Below are 24,476 nucleotides of genomic sequence, written 5' to 3'. Positions count from 1 at the left end.
ATGCTGGAGAGGATGTGGAGAAATAGGAACTCTTTTACACTGTTGGTGGGAGTGTAAACTATTTCAACCATTGTGGAAGACAGTGTGGCAATTCCTCAGAGATCTAAAGCTAGAAATACCATTTGACCCAGCAATCCCATTACTGGGCATATACCCAAAGGATCACAAATCATGCTACTATAAAGACACATGCACACGTATGTTCATTGCGGCACTATTCACAATAGCAAAGACTTGGAACCAACCTAAATGTCCATCAATGATAGACTGGATTAAGAAAATGTGGCACATACACATCATGGAATACTATGCAGCCATAAAAAATGATGAGTTCATGTCCTTTGTAGGGACATGGATGAAGCTGGAAACCATCATTCTCAGCAAACTATCAGAAGGACAGAAAACCAAATACCGCATGTTCTCACTCATATGAGGGAATTGAACAATAAGAACACTTGGACACAGGGAGGGAAACATCACACACCAGGGCCTGTCCTGGGGCAGGGGGAGGGGGGAGGGATAGCATTAGGAGATATACCCACTGTAAATGACGAGTTAGTGGGTGCAGCACACCAACATGGCACATGTATACATATGTAACAAACCTGCACATTGTGCACATGTACCCTAGAACTTAAAGTATAATTAAAAAAATAAAAAATAATGGAAAGTCCAGAAATAAACCCATGTATTCAGAGTCGACAGATTTTTGAAAGGGGCATGAAGAACATTCAATGCGAAATGATATTCTTTTAAACAAATGACTCTTGGACAACTGGATAACCATATTGCAGAATAATGAAGTTGGACATTATGTCTCACCATATGCAAAATTAAATAGAAATACATTCAATACCAAAATGCAAGAGCTGAACCTATAAAACTCTTAGAAGAGACCATGGACTACATTTCAGTATCTTAGATTTGGCAAAATGTTCTTAGATATGACACTAAAGCATGAAGAAGATAAAAATAGGTAAATTAGACTTCATCATAATTAAAAACCTTTACCATTTAGGGGAAACTATCATGAAAGTGAAAAGATAACACAAAGAATGGGAAGAAATTTGTAAGCCACATAAGGAACTTGTATCTAGAATATGTAAAAAAAAAAATCTTACAATTCAATAATAAAAGAAACCCCATTTTCAAAATGGGCGAGTGATATAAATAAACAGGGATTTGTCCCAGGAAGATATACAAATAGCCAATAAGTACATAAATGATGCTTGACATCATTGGGTCATCATGGAAAGGCAAATCAAAACCACAATGAGATAACAAACACTTCATACCCACCGGGATGCTTAAAATCTTGCTTCTGCCACCACAGTTCCTACATTAACTTTGGCCTTCTGATTCTCTCTTATAAAGGCCCTTGTGATTGCATCAGGACCAGCTGTATAATTTAGGATAACTCTCATCTCATGATCCTTAATTTAATCATATCTGCAAAGTACCTTTCCCCATGGAAAGTAACATATTTTCATGTTCCCAGATCTAGAATGTATACATCTTTGGGGGCCGTTAATCTGTCTACTACAATAAGCCTGTTAAACAGTTGTGACAGGTATTATTTATTTTCTTCTAATATCCATTCTCCCCCTTCTTCCATAGTGAAAGAAGTTTCAGATGGACATAGGTCAATCAGATAAAAATGATATGTCCTAACTTTACGTGAAGCAAGGAGTGGCCATGTGACTTGCATTGAACAATAAAATGTGAGCAGTAATGACAATATCACTTGTAGATTAAAGTCTTTAGGAATTGAAGCACAATTCATCTCTTTTTCCTCCTGTTATGGCAACCAGTGAAGCTTCAGCCTGAATTCCCGAATGAGGTTTATACTCATCGGGATCCCCACCAACAACCCAAATAAAATGAACATCAAGCATGAGCCTTCAGGATTATTAGTTACTAGATAATAATCTAGTTAACCCTGACTAATAGAGCATATTTACATAAAACAATGTATATCACACATGCGGTGATATATACTGCTGGATGCCCACTCAATAGTCATTTTCTTTCCCCTCTCCTGGTTGGCATAGTCTGCTTCTTGTGACAGAGTCTGCAAATGCCAAAAAGTCAATTTCCTTTTTGGCAAGATTGTGGGAACACAAACCAATCTTAGTCAATAAGACCTTTTTGTGTTAGGCTGTTCTTTCATTGCTATAAATACCTGGGTGGGTCGCAGTGGCTCATGCCTGTAATCCCAGCACTTTGGGAGGCCGAGGCAGGTGAGTGGATCACCTGAGGTCAAGATTACGAGATCAGCCTGGCCAACATGGTGAAACCCTGTCTCTACTAAAAATATAAAAATTAGCTGGGCTTGGTTGCCCATGCCTGAAATCCCAGCTACTCGGGAGGCTGAGGCAGGAGAATTGCTTGTATCCAGGAAGCAGAGGTTGCAGTGAGCCAAGATCACACCACTGCACTCCAGCCTGGAGGACAGAGTAAGACTCTGTCTAAAAAAAAAAAAAAAAAAAGAAATAGCTGAGACTGGGTAATTTATAAAAAAACTCATTTTAATTAGTTCATGGTTCTGCAGGTTGTACAAGCATGGTGCCAGCATCAGCTCAGCTTCTGGGGAGACCTCAGGAAGCTTTTATTAATGGTGGAAGGCAAAGCAGGAACAGACACATCACATGGCCATAGTGAGAGCAAGAGAGAGGGTAGGGAGGTATAATGCACTTTTAAACAAATATATCTCATAAAAGCTAACTCACTATTGTGAAGACAACACCAAGCCATGAGGGATCCACCCACATGACCCAAACACCTCTCACCAGGCCCCACCTCCAACATTGGGGATTAAAATTCAACGTGAGATTTGGTCAAGGACAAATATCCAAATTATATCAAGATCTAATTGAAATCTGTGAGGAAGTTTCTGGGAAAGGTTTTTCTATCTAATCAAATATGACCATTTCCTATTTTATCATTGTGGTTTTGGTGTTATCGTATAAAGATATGGAACTTGGAAGTAGTGTAGTCATGTTTCAACCATAAGAGAAAGCCAAAAATTTACTGAAAATAGTTTCATAATTTCTGGCATTATCAAACTGCCAAACCAAGTGTGTTAAATAGCTAGTTATGGATGTTGTATTATGTGGGAAAATATTGTTTGGTGTCAATTAATATGGATTCTGTCACTTAACACTGGAAGATGACAATCCCAGTACTGGGTATTTACCCAAAGGATTATAAATCATTCTACTATAAAGACACATGCACACGTATGTTTATTGCAGCACTATTCACAATAGCAAAGACTTGGAACCAACCCAAATGCCCATCAATGATATACTGGATAAAGAAAAAGTGGCACATATACACCATGGAATACTATGCAGTCATAAAAAAGGATGAGTTCATGTACTTTGCAGGGACATGGATGAAGCTGGAAACCATCATTCTTAGGAAACTAACACAGGAACAGAAAACCAAACAGCGCATGTTCTCACTCATAAGTGGGAACTGGACAATTGAGAACACATGGACACAGGGAGGGGAACATCACACACCGGGGCCTGTCGGTGGGTGGCGGGGGTAGGGGAGGGATAGCATTAGAAGAAATACCTAATGTAGACGACGGGTTGATGGGTGCAGCAAACCATGATGGCACGTGTATACCTATGTAATGAACCTGCACATTCTGCTCATGTATCCCAGAACTTAAAGTATAATAATAATACAAAAACTTGAAGCATACAGTATTTGGGATAAATAACTAATTTGGGATAAATTAGTTATTTATCCCAAATATGGTATATCAGAAACCAAATAGATTCAGATGAGAAGTATTTTCTGATAAATCTGTTGCTAATCGAACTCTTGCTATTCTCTCTCTGAAACTCAGAAAACAAATTCCTTCAGATAATGCCCACTTCCTTGATGGCAAACAGTCACAGTTCAGACCCAGAGACTGATGATATTTAAAGGTTCATGTGTATATGGTAAAATATACACACATGCCCATTCACACACTATCAAAGTATAGTTAGGATAAGACTTTGGGAGCTGAATAAAGAGAACACATGGACGCGTGGGTTGGGGGAACAACACACACTGTGGCCTGTCTGAGGGTGTGGGTGGGAGGAGGGAGAGCATCTGGGAGAATAGTTAATGGATGCTGGGCTTAATACCTAGGTGATGGGATTATCTGTGCAGCAAACCACCATGGCACACACATTTTTTACCTTTGTTAGAAACCGGCACACGCAGCACATGTACCCCTGAACTTAAAATAAAAGTTGGGAAAAAGAGATTTTATTTTTAAATTAACTTTCACTCTAAGTGTAAATATTGACTTTAAAAGAAGTGGCTAGTATGTTAATAAGATATGTGTTCATTTTATAAAAATATATGTATGTATGTATAAGTAATATATTGTGCATTTTATACTTGAAGTATTTTTTATAAAAAGAACAAAAGAAACTAGAAAATACCTGTTTTCTCTTTCTTTGGGTCTATAAAATGCCACTGAGAACTATCAGTGGGGTAGAAGCAGAGAAAGGAGAAGCAGAACAAAGTTTTATGGTGTGTTCTCTGTAGCTTTCACTGTTTTAATTCAAGTGATTTCTGGTCTTTTAGGTATAACCAATTCTATACAATGATACTTCTATGTAACTTAGCATTTAAGTTTATTTTACAAAATATCTAATATTTCAGAGGCATATAAACTAGCTAAGAGAAGACAAATACGGAAATAAACTTTCACGTTCCATATGAGATAATGGAACAGAATAAGAACAACAATTTCTCCTCAAACACTTATTTTTAATAACAGCTTTTCGAGCAGACAATGCCAATTACAATGTCAGGGTTACTTAAGTCACTCTGAACTGCAGGTCCAGCATGACCTGCTTCTCAGGAAACAAACCCAGAGAACAATATAAAACATTGCAGATCAAGGGTGCATCCTGACACCAATAGCCTAGGAAATTTGTCAAGGTCATGACCATGAGATCTTTCAGCTTAGGCTAGAGCATAAAAATATGTGACCTTTACTGGGGTAGTAAAAGATTCATGCCTTCAGATGCTCAGTGGACAGATGCTCTCTGTCCACTGAGACAACATGAGCAGCCACTAAATACTACTTGTTGAAGTTGGTAGCAAGGGCTAGATTTTTCCCCCCATTTTCCTTCATCTCTTGGTCATTTACTTCATTCTTGCAGCTATTGAACTCCAGGATACCACTTAACTGCTCTACTTCCCAAGAGGCAGCATATGCAACTTCTATTTCTAGTATGGTACAGGATTGTAGAATGTGTTTAGTTCCAATAAAAATCCTTGGAAAACCTAACCCAGTCTAGAAAGTGTATCCAAACATGTTTTATGCAGAATGAATTATTTCATGCAATATGGTATAGTACAAAATGCAAGCTTCCCTTAAGAAGATGAGAAGGGAATATAACCTACCAAGGAGAAACGAACAGAAAATGGGGAAAAGGAAAATAACTTGACAGAGCTAATCAGGAAATAGGTAAGATGATTATTATCAAAAGGTGAAATTACAATAAAACCACAGTTAGAACACACTGTTGCATTATTACATTAATTTTATTATTTATATAGTATAAAATTCTTTTTTATTATTTATATAGTATAAAATTCTTTAAAATAAGTTTTCTATTATAAATACTGATCTATGTTGGAATTAAGTTGCATAAATCGTGTGCCATATTTCTGCAGTCTTTAATCTATTTGTACTAATATTTGCATTCTTTTAATCTACCCCCAGACAGTCTATATTTACCAGTTCTCATTTTCTTCCTGGGCACAAAATTAGACTACATTTCCCAGCTTCCTTTGCAGTTAGATGTGGCTGTTGGACTCGCTTTTGTCTAGTGGACTGTGTAAACCATTTCTGGAACTGGCCCAGAAAATTCTTTCTCACATGATCTTCTGCCTTTCTCCTGACTAGCAGCTGAAAGCAAAGGATCAAGTATACATCTCTGCAGCCCTAGAGAATAGCAGAACTACAAGATGTATAGTGTGGATCTCTGAAAAACCATAGGCAGTTCTCCAACCATCAAGGAACATCTGCGTTAGATTTGACATAGCAAGAAATAGACTTTTGTTGTGTTCAGACAATAAGAGTAGTTTTGTTTGCTGTGGAAGCTACTATTAATTTCCCTAACAACAATAATACCATATAGGAGGTTTTATTGCCTTGTATGCAGATTCTTCCATCATTGCTTAATATCAACTTCCATTAGATAAAACATACAAGTTCAGCAGATAGGGAAAGAAAAACCTGTCAGTGAGACACAGGTGCATTAGGAAAGATTCTATAATGTAAATAGATTGTATATCAAATTTGTCCCATTATAGGAAAATTCCAAATAGGTATCAATAATATTGTGCATAGAGTTACTTCACAATGTTTCCAGAGCTACTACAGGAGCTGCTTGTAGAGTTGATGTCTTTCTATGTTTTTCCCTTTAAGCTGTGTTCTACATTGTACAGAACCACCTGCTTGAATGATTGAGGCAAAAACAACGTCCAAAGTGCTTGTGGGTTAAATCAATACTACAAATGGCCTTCGAAGGGAACATACAATAACCAAAGCCTTTATGTTTCAGCTAGTTAACCATAGAAGCCACAAACATTTATTCTAAGCACAAGTAAGAGCCTGAATAAAGGAAAAGGAGTACCTTTTCTACAACAGTAATAGTGATTGTGACTTCTTTAACTTGATCTCTAGCAGGTGAAGGAGGGTATATGAAAATGCATTAACCCCTTGGGCTTTGTTTTCAAGATAGTTTACCTCAATTTTTAAGGAATTCAATGTCCTTACATGAATAATGAGATGTTTCATTGATAATGAGGATCACGAGTATAGAGCATTTTTATAAGTTACTTACTATTGTGAAACAAATAACCACAAGTTTAGCAGCCTAAACAACATGCACTTTGTTCACAGTTGCAATGGGCCAGGACTCTGGTCACAGCTTAATTGGGTCCTCTGATTGATGATCTCTCTTTAACCTGCAATGAAGGTCACAAGCTGGGTTGTGAAAGTTCAACAGGGGAATTATATGCTTCTATGGTTACTTACCTGGTTTTTGGCAGGATTTCATGTATGGAATATTGTTGGACTGAAGGACTTGTTGAGTATTGACCAGAGATTTCTCTTAGTTATTTACCATATTTTCTTCTCAAACTTTTAAGATTTCTTCTGCCAGTGAGAGAGACAGAGAGAGAGGGAGAGAGAGAGAGTGAGAGCATGAAAGTCTACTAGCAAGAAAGACAAGTCAAAATATTATGCACTGAATCATGGAAGAAATTTCTATTCTCTGGAAGCAAATAACTAAAACCAACCCATACTCAAAGGGTAGGTATTACACAAGGAGCTTCTACTTTAGCTTGCAGTCAACCTGTTTAACTTTAGTGTATAGGTTCTGGTGGACTTTTGTGGACTTTAGTTCCAATGTAAGTTTACTTATCTTGTTTTCTTTGTTCTTGCACTGCTGGGGCCCCAGCTCAATCCTTTCTGGTGATGTAGAAGGTATCTTCTGAAATTGCCTGCTATTGCTAATTGATGTGGTTTGGGTCTTCCTCCCCACCAAATATCACGTTGAATTGTAATCCCCAGTGCTGGAGATGGGGCCTGGTGAGAGGTGATTGGATCATGGGGAGTGGATTTCAAATAAATGGTTTAGCACTATCCCTTTTGTACCATTCTTGCAATTGTGAGGGAGTTTTCATGAGATCTGGTTGTTTAAAAGTGTGTAGCGCTTCCCCACTTTCTTTTGCTCCTGCTCCCACCATGTGAGATGCTTTCCTCTCTCTTTGCCTTCCACCATGATTACAACTTTACTGAGGCCTCCCCAGAGGTAGAAGCCACTATGCTTCCTGCACAGCCTACAGAATCATGAACCAATTAAACCACTTTTCTTTATAAATTACCCAGTCTCAGGTATTTCTTTATAGCAAAGCAAGAATGGACTAATACAGAACATTGGTTTCAGAAGTGGTACATTGCTGTAAGGATACATGAAAATGTGGATGCAACTTTGGAACCAGGTTATGGGCAAAGGTTGAAAAACTGTAGAGGACTTAGAAGAACATATGAAGATGAGGGAAAGTTTGGAGTTTCCTAAAGACGGGTTGAATGGTTATGACCAAAATGATGGTAGTGATATGGCCAGTGAAGGCAAGGCTGATGAGGTCTCAGGTGGAAATTAGGAGCTTATTGGGAACTGGAGGAAAGGTCACTTTTGTTATGCTTAGCAAAGAGCTTGACTGCATTGTGCCCATGCCCTAAGGATCCATGGAACTTTGAACTTCAGAGTGATGATTTAGGATATCTGGTGCAAGAAACTTCTAAGCAGCAAAGCATTCAGGGGTGCCCTGGCTGCTTCCAACAACCTATGCTCATATGAGTTAGCAAATAAATGACCTAAAGTTGGAACTTAGATTTATAGGGGAAGCAGAGAGTAAACATTTGAAAAATTTGCAGCCTGGCCATGATGTAGCAAAGAAAAGTCCATTTTCATGGGAGGACTTCAAAGCAGGGTGCAGAAATTTGCATATGTAAGAAAGAGCCAAGTGCTAATACCCAAGACACTGCAGAAAAGGCCTCAAAGGCACTTCAGAGAACTTCTTGGCAGCCCCTCCCATAACAGACCCAGAAGCCTAGGATGAGAGAATGGTTTTATAGGCCAGATCCCGTGCCCCACTTCCCTGTGAAACCTTGGGACACTCTTCCCCAGATCCCAGTAGCTCTAGCTCCAGCCATGGCTCAAAGGAGCCCAGGTACAGTTCAGGCTGCTGCTTCAGAGGGTGCAATCCATAAGCCTTGGCAGATTCCATGTGGTGTTAAGCCTGTGGATGCACAGAATCCAAGAATTGAGGTTTGGGAGCCTCTGCTTAAATTTCAAGGATGTATGGAAAAGCCTGGATATCCAGAGAGAACCTTGCTGCAGGGTTGGAGCTCTCATGGAGAAACTCTACTAGGGCAGTGCAGAGGGGAAATTTGGGGTTGGAGCCCCTACAGAGTCCTCACTGGAACACTGCTAGTGGAGCTGTGAGAAGAGGGCCGCCATCCTGTAAACCGCAGAATAATAGATCCACAAACAGTTTGCACCCTGTACCTGAAAAGTCTGCAGGCACTCACTGTCAGCCTTGGAGAGCAGCCGTGCTGGCTAAACCCTGGAAAGCTATAGGGGCAGAGATGCTCAAGACCTCGGGAGACCATCCCTTGTATCAGTGTGTCCTGGATGTCTGACATGGAGTTAAAGAAGATTATTTTGGAGCTTTAAGATTTAATGACTGCCCTGCTGGTTTTGGAACTTGCATGGGGCCTGGTGTCCCTTTCTTTTGGCCAATTTCTCCCTTCTGGAATGGAAATATTTACCCAATGACTATACCCCCAGTGTAGATTGGAAGTAACTAACTTGTTTTTTTATTTTATAGTCTCATAAGCAGAAGGGACTAGGCTTGTCTCCAATGAGACTTTGGACTTTTGAGTTAATGTTGGAGTGATTTTAAACTTTGAGGATTGTTGAGAAGGCATGTTTTTGTTTTGCAATGTGAAAAGGACATGTGATTTAGGAGGGGCCAGGAGCAGAATGATATGGTCTGGATCTGTATCTCCACCAAATCTTATGTTGAATTTTAGTCCCTAATTTTGGAGGTGGGGCCTGGTGGGAGGTGATTGGATCATGAGGGCAGATTTCTCGTGACTGGTTTACACCATCTCCCCGATACTGTACTTGTGATCATGGGTGAGTTCTCATGGGATACTGTTGTTTAAAAATACGCAGTACTTCCCCCCTTGCTCTCTCTTGCTCCTGCTCCCACCACGTAAGATGCCTTGCTCCCGCCTTGCCTTCTGCCATGACTGGAAGCTTCCTGAGGCCTCCCAAGAAGCAGAAGCCACTATACTTTCTGTACAGCCTGCAGAACCATGAGCCAATTAACCCTCTTTTCTTTATAAATTACCCAGTTGCAAGTATTTCTTTATAGCAGTGTGAGAACGGACTAATACACTGAGTGATCTTTAAGTGGGAAGCGAATTATAAGCTGCTGAGCCTGCCTCTTCCTATGCTATTTGGTGGAGGGTAGGAAGGCAGAAAGTTTTGCTACTGCTGTTGCTGCTGGCAGATCAGCTTTCTCACTCTAAAAGTCTGATTCCAGTCTAACCTGGAATGGTTGTGGAATGGGGACTAGTCAGCTCTAATTGTGGCTACTGTAAGGGGATCAACTGCCTGCTGATAAAATGTAATACATTATTTTATAGGAGAAATAGAATTCTATGTAAGAGTAATGAAAAATAAATAACACGGGGTTGATGATGAGAACATTTTTCTGATAAGTGTACCTAATTTGCATGACCATATATCCTAGTTATCCCAGAATAGTTACTGTGTATGTCTGTTCTCTTGGTGTAATTATTACTAATACTCTTGCTACTCTCAAAATAATCTCATCTTGAACAATAAATTATGCGGTCACCCTTTCTCTAAGTGAAAATAGGGATGACTTGCAGTTATCCAGATAAATGGCCAGAGGTAAAGAATTTTTTGACAACAGTAAATGTCATGCATGTAGATCTTCAGACAGAAGAAAATATAATATGTTGAGTATACTACTAATAAATAATTACTGTTAATTGAATGTACAGTGTGATTGAAAAGTAAAGATGAGGATAAGTACTTAATTGGGCTTCACAAATGGAAACTACACAAGCTTACTTAAAGACTCTGCCCTTTATCTTAATACAATGGAGAACCTTTGAAGCACAGTAAAAGTTAGATTTGACATTAGAAATATCACTGTGGTTGAACTGTAAATAGTGGATTTTGGGGATTTGAGTGAGACAGAAGAATGGCTATGACAGAATTTCTTGGTGATAGAAATGACAGATCCTGGGAGGCTAATCCAAAATACTGGCCATGGGGATGAATGAATGAAAAATAATTTGAATACTATTTTATACTTAGAAGTTGTAGAAATGGGTGGGTTGCTGGAATTTGGAGGTTAAGGGAGTGTTAAATTAAACAAGTCCAATTGCCAAATTAAAGATGGGCCTCTCTGACTTGAGCAACTGAGTGGTTGGAGGTATCATTCAACGAGCCAAGAGGAAAAGGAAAAGTGGTATTCAAGATAATTTGTAGAGAAAATTGTTCAACTAATTGAGAGTTAAACATGGGGAAGAATGATAACTAACTGGTGCCTTATATTTCCAAATGCAGGTGGTTTGAAAAAATTATGACAGTTAGCATGTTTAAAAGGAAGAGAGGGCCCATATGGGAATAAGGAGGTTGTTTTTAGACACATTTAGAATAGTTTAAAAGGAAGAAAAGGTTTATGTGTTAAAATAAATTTTAACAGTTAGTTATGTCTAACAGACCATTAGAAAGGTCCAGGCAATCTCAATAGACAGAGTAAGACCAGACACAGAAAGGCATCCACTGAGAGAGGTAGAAACCCTGAATGTGGCTAACTTCCCAAGAGATCATGGGAATAAGATGCTGGGACATGAACTGTTATGGGAAGAAAGACTGGCGAGCTACAATTCTAGTGCTAAAGAGCAGTCAAAAAATGCAAATTTATTTTGACCATTTCAACATGAGCGATCTCTGAGAAAATACTTATGTAGAATGAAGGAGATGAAAAATTGAATGAAACGTTTTACGAGTAAAAGAGTAGTGAAAAAGAAGATCCAAAGGATCCAAATTACTTTTTTAGTAGAATTTTTTTTTTCTGTAACATACAAGGGAAATGACTATAGATTAAGGCCATAGAAGAGGTGAAGCATTGTTCCTCATGGATGCATCAAATGGGAATGTATTCATAGGTAGAGATGAACCATTGGAGAAAGAAAGTTTCAAAAGAAATTTCGAAGAAATCAGTGAAAGTAATGGACCAAGTTCCATAGATTAGAATAAAAAATTACATAGTATTTATAATCCAATAGAAAGACATTTTTATTTAAGAGATAAGAAGGGAGTAAAAGTGGACTGGTGAAGATATGTTGGACAGGGGTAAAAACCAATGGAGAAATATGTGAATAATATTTTTTTGAACTTCTTTTGTGAGTGATGCTTTGTACTAGTTCCATCCTAAGTAATCCTTACTTGAATTATTGTAATTATAGATCTACTTAATCAAGTTATGTTACCTGATGTAACAACAATAAAAACAACTACAACATTCCAAATATTAGTGGCTTAAATAAACTACAGTTTACTGCTTACTCACATGAAGGTAAAATGCAGTCATTTGGAGGCCATCCAGACTGACTATCCTGGACCATTGGGTCCTTAGTATTCTCCACTGGATGGCAGTGGCCAATAGACCGGGGAAAAGTGAATGTGAAATGGATTGAGTCTAAGCTTTTAAGGGTCAGGCCTCAAAGTAGCATGCATCATTTTCACTTAGTCATATAGCCCTGACTCACTCGCAAAACCTGAGAAAGGAACCTCTCTGAGTGCTTAGAAACAAAAGACCAAACAGCGCCTGGTGAGTTCATGGTATTACCCATGAAACAGCACGTATTGTTATCCGCTTTGCAGAGAAGGAAACTAAGATTTAGAGAGTGCTTAAGAAACTTGCCCAAAGGTCACATGGTTTAGTAAATTGAGTCTGATCAAGTCAGTAAATCAGAGCATATCATCTTCCACAAAAAGTGACAACAGACCACAGAAGAGTGAGAAGCCTTTACTATTGGGGGAAAACAAGTTCATATGATGTGGGAACAAACTCACTGAAGAGGAGCTAAAGCTAGAAACAGACATCTCTCTTGAATCCAATTATCTCTGCTTTAAAGACCCCTTTCAGGACACTCGGCAGATTGTATTCATTCATTTTATATTTAAAAACAATTATTAGATGCACACTAGCTATCACACACTATTGCAGATGTTTAATGTACCAAACAGATTTTCTGACCTCATGGGGCTTATATTTTGGTTTGCAGATCCAGAAAAGGATAACCATGCTTTCTGATTTTGTTTAACTTATAAGAGAAAGTAAAATAACGTATTGAGAGAATATGGGTTAACTTAACGTAAAACAAACAAAAAATAACTAAAGACTTAAATTTGTATAGAAACTATGGCTGCTCTAAGTATCTATATAACAAAGTAACAGGGAATGTCTTCGGTGTGGAACAATTGGGATAAATGGACTCCAAACATTTCAGTCCTTAAATACTTTGATTGACACTCAAATCCAGGAAGAGGTAATCTAAGCGAGCTGGATGATATTTCAGCCTTTTGGCTAAGGTGCCTTAAAGGAAGGTCCCACCAAGACAGTCAAAAAAGAAAAAGAAAAAAAAAAAGGCTAGGCGCGGTGGCTCATGCCTGTAATTCCAGCACTTTGGGAGGCCGACGCTGGCGGATCACGAGGTCAAGAGATCAAGACCATCCTGGCCAACATGGTGAAACCCAGTCTCTACTAAAAGTACAAAGAAAAAAAAAAAGTTAGCCTGGCGTAGTGGCACGCACCTGTAGTCCCAGCTACTCAGGAGGCTGAGGCAGGAGAATCACTTGAACCGGGGAGGCAGAGCTTGCAGTGAGCCAAGTTGGTGCTACTGCACTCCAGCCTGGCCACAGAGCGATACTCCTTCTAAAATAAATAAATAAATAAATAAAATAAAAAAATTAAAAGGTGGCCAATAATTATCTAAAATCATGATTCATGAAACAATTACTAGAATAGTAGGAAATAGATGTAAACAAACAAAAAGCATCAGTTACCAAAAATCCCTAAAAATAAATTAATTTTAAAAATTACTTCAAAATGTTAAATATTATGAGAAAAAAAATTGAGTGATAGAACAGAAAATAATTGAGAGAGTAAGGTAGTTTAGATAAGATGGATAGGGCAAGCTGCCTTAATTTCCTTGGTATTTGAGTCCTGAAGGAGGAGATGCCAATCATGAAATCAGCCAGGGGCAAGTCTAACAACACAGCGAATAACAAGGTCCTGGGGCAGGGCATGTTTTTAGGAGCAGAAAATTTGCTACTATAGCTCAAATATAGTAAGAAGCAACGGTAGAGAGTGTGTGGAATTCACACCAAGTTATGATGGATTGTTAAGTTTAGATTTTGTTCAAGAGGCTGTTGCTATTTTTAAAAAGTGCATATTAACTCAGGAGTGTCAAATAACTGTATTCTTCTTTTCTTTTCTAGGAGAACATAAGAATTCCTTTTGTTTTTTGCCTACTCTTCTCCTACCACCTCTTTTCTACTACAATGTTATGATAAGAGCAGCTGCCTTGGCAGTTTCTAATTGCAGGTAAGAGTCTTAGAGGTGCCATCTGTTCTTGCCAGCTCCTTTGGTTGATAACTCTCCTGTCCCAAGGGTAACAAACACATTGGGAGTAACTCCTTGGAGTAACTCGACCCAGGATCAGTACTAGCTGAGCCACTTCTCACTCACGTGGCCTTGGGCAAGTTATTTAGCCTCTCTAATCTCAGTGGACTCATTTTTTAAGGAATACAATAATACCAAATTCCCAGGGCTGTAGAACAGGCTAAATGAAATAACATATTTTAAGTATCTAGTCTATTCCCCAAAACATAGAAAGGGCTCAAAAAATAGTAACATTGAAAAAACATTGTGAAACACAGAATCAGGTGCTCAAGGAGAAATCCAGCAGCACTCACTGCAGATGTCAGAGCACTTCAAAATAGAAGAATGAGATTTCTGGAGTCCTGTCACAACCAGATGATTCTTTGTGCTATCTGGAAATTGACACTCATACATTTGTCTACTTTTCTCTGACCATGTTTCAGCCAAATAGGCTCATCTGGTGGATATTGTGGGAATGTTTGAAGAAATCATTGGTAAAAATTTGATTTTCAAAAAGTTAAGATTGGCTTTATAACAGTCCCTAACTCATTTCATAAGAGATTTAAAGTAGCTACAAAATGATAAGTGAAAATACAATATAAAAGGATGAGATATAAATACTTAACTAATACACTAAGTCAAATTTAATCAACCTTTGTTTCTTTTATTTATACCTTAACTACGTTAGGAATAAAAACTACTAAAATACAAAACCAATATTATAAGTTAGATAATGGTGAAAGGGAAAAAGAAAATAAGCAAGAAAAATAACATGAAATGAAGCCATAAATAAGGGAAATATGTTACAAAAACCAAATGATACAAAACCAAATAATTAACGGGAAACAGGCACATGCTATACATTAGTGAAGGAGGCCAGTATGAGGTCATGTGAGTGGTGGAGACTTTGGTCATTTACTTCCTTTAAAATTCCTCATGTTGTTGCTAGAATTCTATGCACGTGTGCTTCTTTACCTATTTCTAAACCTGTGTGTGTGTATTTGTAAAATTTCTGATTGTTCAAACATAATTTACAAAAACAAACCAAACAAAACACATTTATAGAACAAATTAAATCCCTCAGGCAACCAATTAATGCTCCTTGCACCCAAACCCTACTCCAATTCCTCATAGTAGGCCTTAAGGTTAGGTGCTTTCTTGCAGCTAGTGCGTTCAGGGAATCCTAGTCAGATATACAATTCAAAATATCTATCAAATAAAAACAAAATAATTGTTATAAGGAGAAGAATAATTGCGATCAGAAGAAGGGAATAGAGAGGACTTTCTGTGCTGTAAGAGGCAATGCAATTCATGTATCCTTAATATAGACATAGCAATTACTTCCTTGGTTCAATTCAACAATAGTTACGAGGTAGATTGTAGTCACTACTGATATTGGAAGGAAAAAATCCATTCAATCCCTGACAAAAGATGGCAGATTCTTAATTTTCACAAACTTTAAAAGCACAGCAATAATTTCTTAATTCCTTACTTAATCAATATTTGCTATACATATCTTTCTAAAACTCATAAAAGAAGTGAAGTAATTTTTAGAATATACAGAACTGTGAATTTTTTTTCATTCATTATTGAAAATGCTTATTACATTTTGAGATGGTGCAAAATGACACTTGAATTTTTTTCAGAATGCAAAATACCTGCATTAAATACCTAAAAGGCTATAGCAATATGCATCATAAACACTGAAGATTTAATGAATGCTACTAAAACTGCTAACACTTCTAATATTTTGCATCATTCAATTTCACAGACTGGTAGAACTGTAACACTTTTGTTCATAATTTCGTATAAACTACTTAAATTTTTTGACATATACTAAATTTAGATTATATTGTTGCTGTATAATTATGTAATTTAGGTGAATTCTTTAATGGTTTAATATTTCTGGTCCATTTATTCCTAAATATGTTTTGCACATCTTCTAAAGCCTAATAAAAGTTCCCAGGGGGTAATAAACATGTATGTATTGTAGATAAAATGTATTTTAAAGAAATAAGGAATGCATTTTCAAAATATTTTTGTATGCTTGCAATAAAACTTGCCAGGTTTTTCTTAGGAATGTAGTTTAATGAAGACAAGTTAAACCATTCTTTGTGTAAGATTTATCTATACATAACCAATTATTTAACCAGAAATGGATTGAAATCAACGGCTATGTATCTGTGATTTCCACTAAAATTTAAATTTTTAGGCAGTAAAATTTGATTTATATTATATATAAATATATAACATAATGGAACTTCTCACTGTGTATAGCACATGGTAGGCACTTAATAAATGTATATTAAATAATTGATATATGTGTGCATGGTTGAGGCAAAAACACTGTCCCTCTTTAAGCTAAAATTGCACTTAGCTTATAGCAATGACTGTATCTATGTATATGTGAGTGTGTATAGTGCTTTTATTCTGGGATTCCTAATACCAGATTGTTTTTTTCTGCCTAGGGATAAGATTTCCATGCTCCAGTTGAAGCACGTTATATTTTTATAATATTAATTAAATATACAGTCTGCTCACTTTTACATCTGTACTGTTTTCTCCCTAGATACATTTCTTTAAACAAAATGGCCTTACCATTCTGTTTCCTTGTTAGATTTTTGTCAGAGGGAAAATTAATTGAAATACAAAATGAAAAAGCTAAAGAAAACAAGTGAACTACTGTGAGTCCCTCAGGTTCTTCCATTTGGACCAAAGTTTTTTTCCGTTGGTGAATAACAGCCACTTACTGCTGCTGCAGTTATGGGTAATGGACACCTTTACTTAATGAATTTTTCAAGAAAAACAAACTCCTCTTGTAAATTGGGAATTACCAAAAACAATGAAGCAAATCCTCCTTTACTTCTCATCCTTTACAAGGAATCAAATATAGGCAAAAAGAATTGCTACATAAAGAGAAAACAGAATTTGTATGTGCTACTTGCATTTGATTCACTCATATATTTAATATGCTTTCAGAAGCAAGCTTCTGAAACATTAAATATAAATTAGGACAGAAAGCTTTACATCAAAGACACTGAAGATTTTACCACAGTAGATAAAGTATTTAAGGTGAGAGTAAGTGTGAATTTAAAGGACAGGCATTGGTTGCTTCTGGACAGGGTCAATGGCTGGCAATAGGATTTGATGGGGCAGATAGTGAAAAATTCTTGTGTCCTTACATTTCTCTTTGTGAATGAAGCCATTGTTCAAATGGCGATAGCCTGTATTAGTCCATTTCATAGTGCTATGAAGAAGTACCTGAGACAGGGTAATTTATAAAGAAAAAGAGTTTTAATTGACTCACAGTTCCACATGAGTGGGGAGGCCTCACAATCATGGTGGAAGGTGAAGGAGAAGCAAAGGCACGTTTTAAGTAGTGGCAGGCAAGAGAGTGTGTGCAAAGGAACTGCCGTTTATAAAACCATCAGATCTCATTGAGACTTATTCACTTTCATGAGAACATCACGGGAAGAACCCACTTCCATGATTCAATCACCTCCCACCGGTTCCCTTCCATGACATGTAGGGTTAATGGGATCTACAATTCTAAAGATTTGGGTGGGGACACAGCCGAACCATATCATAGTCCTACTTTGGAAGCTTCTTATTAGAAACAGAGGTGATCTATACAATACATCTAACACAGCATATTGTGCCAAATATACAACTCTCACAAAGCATAGTGGCCTCTGGATAAAATTTAAATGTTCAACATCTAAAACCCCTTTATTTTTCTTAAACTGGGAAGCCCCAAAGCATGAACTTCTCCTGATAAAGGTTGACCATAGGTCTCCAGTCGCCTAGACTGTTCTGGTTTATGAGGTATAATTATTAATAACATTGCTTTACACTCTCAAAATTGTCTCAATTTGGATGATAAATTATATGGTAATCCTATTAATAAGGGATTTTTCATTGGAGATTTGGGTGTGACAGTTAGGAAATATGGTCACTTCGGCAGGCTGAGGCTTCATTATAGGATTTCCTGAGCAGAAAACAGAAAGGTTGATGAACAAGGGGAAAAGGTATGGAAAAGACAGAGACAACCCTTCTTCTTATAGAGGAGAAGACTGAGAGCAAAACAGGTAAAAGGAATTCTCCTAAGTTGTGCAGCTGGTAAGTGCACATATGGAATAATAATCTTACTCCTTTAGCAAAAGCATTATTAAAATACACAAAAGTATTTCATAAAAAATAATTTATTTTATTTTTTATAAATAAATTACTTTTTATTTCAAAGGTAAGTCTTAACTTTGGAAATCTAGAAAGTAGAAAGCGCTACCTGAAATGTGTATAAAATAATTTGTAGTTCTGGTATTCTAAGTGTTTGTACAAGAAGACACTGCCCTCTTCTAAAAAATTCAACAGTATCTTAAGAAGTTTGTAATATGCAAAAATATACAAGAACCTAGTCTGGGATGTTTAGCATAGACAGCTAACAGAGACTCAGATACGGTTGGAAGTTGACAGCTGGGGAGACAGGAGGTGGAGAGAGGAAAAGCTCAAGCAATGTGGCAGGACGCCCAGTTGGAGGGAAAGAGGCAGCCAGTGGGGAATTCCCTATGGCAGTAATGGTAAGGGACTCTGAGAAACAGAAATGTTTAGCTGTAATTTATACATTTCAATCTCAGTGATGTAATTTTTTCAGAACATTTCATTAAACATTCTATATTCAGAACTGTGGGAAATTAAATGATTGGAATGAGGCAAGAAGCGAGGCCTTGCTATATCATCAGACATTGGTGAAGGGCATAGATGGTAATCCACAGTGAAGAGAAAGGAGATGCTGGGAATCTCTCAGAGTCCTGGGAGGAACCCAGTGACCAAGGAAAGCTGGCCACACAACAAGCTAACCCAAAGGTGGACAGGATCCAGACCCTATTCATCCTAAATATATTAAAGAAAGGTAAATCTCAGTGTTCAAAGCCCAGCTCACACCTCGTAGCTATATGATCGTTGACAAGTTATGTACTCTCCAAAACCTGCCTGCTCATCTGTAACACTGGAATAATAAAAGAACCTACCTCTTTTATCTGCTTGGAAAATTATGTGAGATGATGTACTTAAGACAATCTGCCTTGTGGCTGGAAAGTGGCCAGAATGCTATAGAAGCCAGCTGATAGATCTAGCATTAGTATATCATTTTGTATGATTTCTATTTTGTAATCACCTGGTATTTTAGCATAAACATTCTCCTATATCACTGACTATTCTTAGAAAACATAATATTTAATGAATGTCTAATAGTTTTCTTTATTGAATCACATGTTAATTTAAGTAATTCTCCAGTTTTTTGTCATTTATGTTGCTTTGAATTTTTAACCATCATAAAAGACAATGTCAAATTTCCATGTTTAAAACTTGATATGCATTTTTGGTTATTTAGTCAGATAATATTCATTGGATACTATTTATGTGTGCCAAAATATACAAATATTTTAAGATTCTTCATACATGAACAATTTGTGTTACAGGAAAAGAATACCATATTACACCACTTTGATTATGGTGTTCCAAATTGCAAGTAAAACACAATTATCAAACTGGCTTAAATAACAAGAAGAAAGTATTAGATACTCCAAGGGTAGGGAAGACTTCAGTGTTGACTGAGTAAGCACAAAATCATTAAGAACCTATCTTCTTTCCATCTCATCCACCTGTCTTTCTTGGTGTTGTCATCATACTCAGGCAAATAGCAAGGTGGCTGTGAGAGTTCCAAATGTTCCATCCGGACACAGCAAGGCCCAGCACCACTTTTATACAAACAAGAAAGTTATTCAAAGAAGCCTCCACAGACTTCTCTGGTTATTGGTCAGATTGACCATGTGTCCATCCCCAACCACTCCCTCTAAGGGAAGCTGGATGACCATAATTGACCTGATCAGTTACTTAGGATGGACTGGGGGTACAGAAATCAATAATAATAATACCCATGATTTCCATGTCAGTGTTTGTCAGTGTGACTTTGATTTCACCCTCACCAATGCTACATATTTTGGTAAACTTCCATTTCTATTTATATCCCATTAGAAAATGTGTTTGGGTACAACATACTATGGTTCTGCACAAATACTGTTCACTGACCCTTTGACTGAATGACACAATTAATGACTAACTGATGTACTGGGACTTACCAAGTCTTTAGTTCAATTGAGTTGTATTCTACAAAGTTGAACACTACTAGCTTGAGAGGAGATGGACCTTTTAAAATACAAAGGGGATATTATATGAAGTGAAAAGGTCTTGAGCAACATTACCCAATAGCTAAATCATTATTTGGGGGAATCTATAAATGAACTGTAAATTAAAATGTGAAAATGATTGTAGAAAGAAGTGAAATTTAAGCTCTCAATGGGATAATCCTTCAGCTGAAATGGCCTCACACTGTTTTTCTTGGATTATTTTGAGGCCCATTGTATTATCTGAAGGAAGTCTATTGAACAGTGATTGAGTGGTGCTGACCTGGTGCTCCGCTCACTTTGCACAAAAGCTTCTCTGCTGTAATGCTTGGCGAGGCTATACATTGAAGCCAATTGTGACCCTGAAACAAAATGAAACCACTTACTCACTCCTTAAAGGTTTTAGTATGACACATTTTATTATAATTTTGAAAAGCATCATTTTTCCTGATGGCTAATTATTAACTTTCAAATAGATGCTGTGCAAATTGCAATCAAATATCTTTACTTTATTGAATGCGTATGTTGTCAGGAAATATAATTCCACATTAAAGTGTTTCACAGATTTACTGACACCCAGATCTCTTTGTTCTGATTTTGGTCTCCCTCCTGCTGCTCCTGGCAAATTGAAAAACTACTTTATTGAGCTCCATGCTTCCAAATTCCCTGATGTGTATCACAGTACAAATAAGGTTACTTCTAAGCTTTTTGTTGTTGCCATTCTTTCTTTCTTTACTTTTACCTGAATGCTGTGGAGAACCTATGGTCCAGCAAAAGTGTTTAAATAAGAACACCAAATATTATATGTAAAGATGTTAGGTGCATATTCACATTTCTATCCCAAATTTTAACTTGACCATTGTTCACATCTGGCTTTGGAATCTGTTTATAAAATGGTTAGGATCTTTGGGTCCAAATAAATATGTATACTTATGAATAATTATATGCATTTATGAATAATATGAATAGATATCTCTATATATACAAAAATATATATGCAAATAGGTATTATGTATAATATATAGATATTTATATGGATATGATACATGTATATGTACATGTGTATAGAAACAGACACACATAGTATGTGTACATTGTGTGTGTGTGTGTGTAGGTATATACATGTGTGCTAAAATTGACAGTATGTTTTCATTAAATCTATCCCTCCAGGTTTAGGTAGATATTTCTTCTTTCTGTTCCTTACCACTCTGCATGTTCCTGTTCTGTAGCACTTATCAATTTGTATTGCCAATGCCTATTTCACAATTAAATTGTTAGCTTCTTAAGAGCAGGACCAGTACGTTTCTGTACTCCCATGCCATCCATTTCCTGGATCTAAGCACTCAACAATAATATGTATTGCATAACTGGATTACTTAATGAAAGAAGAAAGAAACCTATTTAATATTTACCCCCACTTGAAAAGGTACTTTTTAAAATATTATGTGGTAGGAAAAAAACCCATAAATGATGTCTTAAATATTGTACTACTAGATTTTTGAACTTGTAATGCAAAATGATTGAAACAACTGCTAAAAGAAAAATAAAACAAAAACAGTATAATCTACTCTAAACAATATTGGAAAAAAATGAATGAATCCAATAATTAAAGAAGGACAAAGCACAAACTCTAATCCATGCACATTCCGGTGACCTAAGTCCCTTAGATTCCAATAAATAACATTGTGCAAATTGTGAGAATATCAATGACACTAAAGACTGTAGGATTCTGTCTTCAAGAATCATTGTACATTTGAGATGTGTGGCTTCTTGGACATAATTTAGTTTTGCCTTTCGTTTTATGTATGAGATAGCAGACTCCCAGAAATAGGATATGATTTGCAAGGATTAGCTCCTGGACATGGAGAAGGGAGGAATTCAGATACTGAGTAGTCAAAAGTACACAGCACTGCTGATGACTGGAAAGGTTAGAAGTGACCACTGCAAAATTGGGTAAGCAAATATTTTACATCCAGATCACTCAGAAAGCTTTTGTAAGGCAGGAGATGATACTAGTATTTTATCCTCAGGAACAGTCATTCTCAACAGGGGGCAAATTTGCCCCTCTGGGGATATACAGTGATATCTGGAGACATTTTCGATTGACAGAAATGTGTACGTGTATGTGCAGGGGGGTGGGCAGTGTGGGAGGAGGATTGCTACTGGAATACAGTGGATAGAGATTGAGGATGCTTCAAAATCCTGCAAGGCTCATATAACAAGAATCAGTTTACACGAGAGGTGAATAGAGAGAGTTTTGTTGGTCATTCTTTAAAGTGCATAGAATTGCACGTGCATACACAAGTATAGTCATCTGCGGCATAGTTGAGCTGTGCCCAGAGGAAGTAGCTCACAAGGTTAGTATTCACAGATGGAAAGATTCCTCAGCTGTGCCAGCATGGGAATTACTATGAGGCCATATATCTGTGAAGTTGTGTTACCCGTGGAGGAGAGCCTAGACATAAAATGGCATTTAGAACTTAACCAGGAAGTCAGCCAGCAGTCAAGATTGCACCTGTTGTTCCCTCTACCAAGATGGCTGTGCTCCTTTATCTCCTGTCTTACTGTGCTTTATGTTGCTATACTAGAATATCACACTGGGTAATTAATAAGGAAATAAATGTATTTCTAGCACTCTCACTGGATGGCACAAAGTTCAACATCAGGATGATGGCATCTGGTGAGGGTCTTTGTGCTGCGTCATCTCAGGGTGGAAGGGCCAAAGGGCAGGAGAGCATCCAAGAGAGCAAGATGGAGGCAAACTCACCCCTTTTATCAGAAACTCATTCTAGTGGCAACTAACCCACTCTCATGATAACAGCATTAATCCACTTGTGAGAGCAGAGCCATAGCATCTTCCTGGACAAGGAATATAGCGCCTTCCTTCTTGGCAAAAAGGTTTCAACTCAAACACCAGCTGGCAGCCTTTTTTGACGATGGAATTTAATTTGACTTTGCCATCTTCAGACAATTTATGACATCGCCGCTTTCATAATCTGAAATAAGAACCTTTGTTCATTTGTTTGCTTGTTAACTATTTTCCTCCACCAATTCAACCAAGAGTAAAATTTTTGGAAAACCAAACCTATTTACAGTCTTTTTCATGATAATACTTTTAGTGCTTATTGTAGGTGTTCAATAAATATTTAATTTTTCCAGTTTATTCACCCAACATTTATTGGGTGCCTACTGTATAAAAGATACTCTTGGCCGGGTGTGGTGGCTCACACCTGTAATCCCAGCACCTTGGGAGGCCAAGGCAGGTGGATAACCTGAGGTCAGGAGTTCGAGACCATCCTGGCCAACATGGCGAAACCCCGTCTCTACTAAAATACGAAAATTAGCCAGACGTGGTGGAGCAGGCCTGTAGTTCCAGCAACTTGGGAAGCTGAGACAGGAGAATCATTTGAAAAGATACTCTTTTTTGTGGGGAGGTGGGGAAGGACTCTGTCACCCAGGCTGGAGTGCAGTGGCACCACCTCGGCTCACTGCAACCTCTGCCTCCCAGGTTCAAGTGATTCTCCTGCCTCAGCCTCCCGAGTAGCTGGGACTACAGGCATGTGCAACCACGCCAGGCTAATTTTTGTATTTTTAGTGGAGATGGGGTTTCGTTATGTTGGCCAGGCTGGTCTGGAACTCCTGACCTCAGCTGATCCACCCTCCTCGGCCTCCCAAAGTGCTGGGATTACAGGTGTGAGCCATCATGCCTGGCCTAAAAGATACTCTTATAGTCATGAAAAAAATTAAGATTCCTGACCTCATGGAGCTTGTGAATGAGTAAATAAATGGATAAATACATGAATTTACCTAGAAAGCCTAGGTAGTAGTGACAAAGAAGAAACCAGTAGGCTCCCAGAACTAATATCGTAAGCATAATGAAAGGAGGTTAATAAAAGTAATGAATCACCATACTTATGACTAGAGTTTACCAGAATGTTACTTTTACAATGACTGGGGGCAGCTAAACAAACTGAATGTGTG

General features: G+C 37.5%; 1 long non-coding RNA gene across 2 annotated transcripts in view; it reads right to left on the bottom strand.

The window, feature by feature from the left end:
• The window catches only part of LOC105374511 (uncharacterized), a 482,145-nt gene that overhangs the window by 74,101 nt on the left and 383,568 nt on the right, over window positions 1-24,476 (bottom strand). The window contains exon 3 of one of the 2 annotated variants that reach the window (NR_188379.1): window positions 7,067-7,186. This is a non-coding gene — a long non-coding RNA (uncharacterized LOC105374511). The remainder of the gene's footprint in view (window positions 1-7,066; window positions 7,187-24,476) is intronic. The other variant, NR_188378.1, reaches the window with a different exon arrangement.

Source organism: Homo sapiens, chromosome 4 (assembly GCF_000001405.40).
Source record: "Homo sapiens chromosome 4, GRCh38.p14 Primary Assembly".
Classification (NCBI taxonomy): domain Eukaryota; kingdom Metazoa; phylum Chordata; class Mammalia; order Primates; family Hominidae; genus Homo; species Homo sapiens.
Note: the sequence above shows the minus strand (reverse complement) of the source record. Positions and strands in the feature narration are given on the sequence as shown.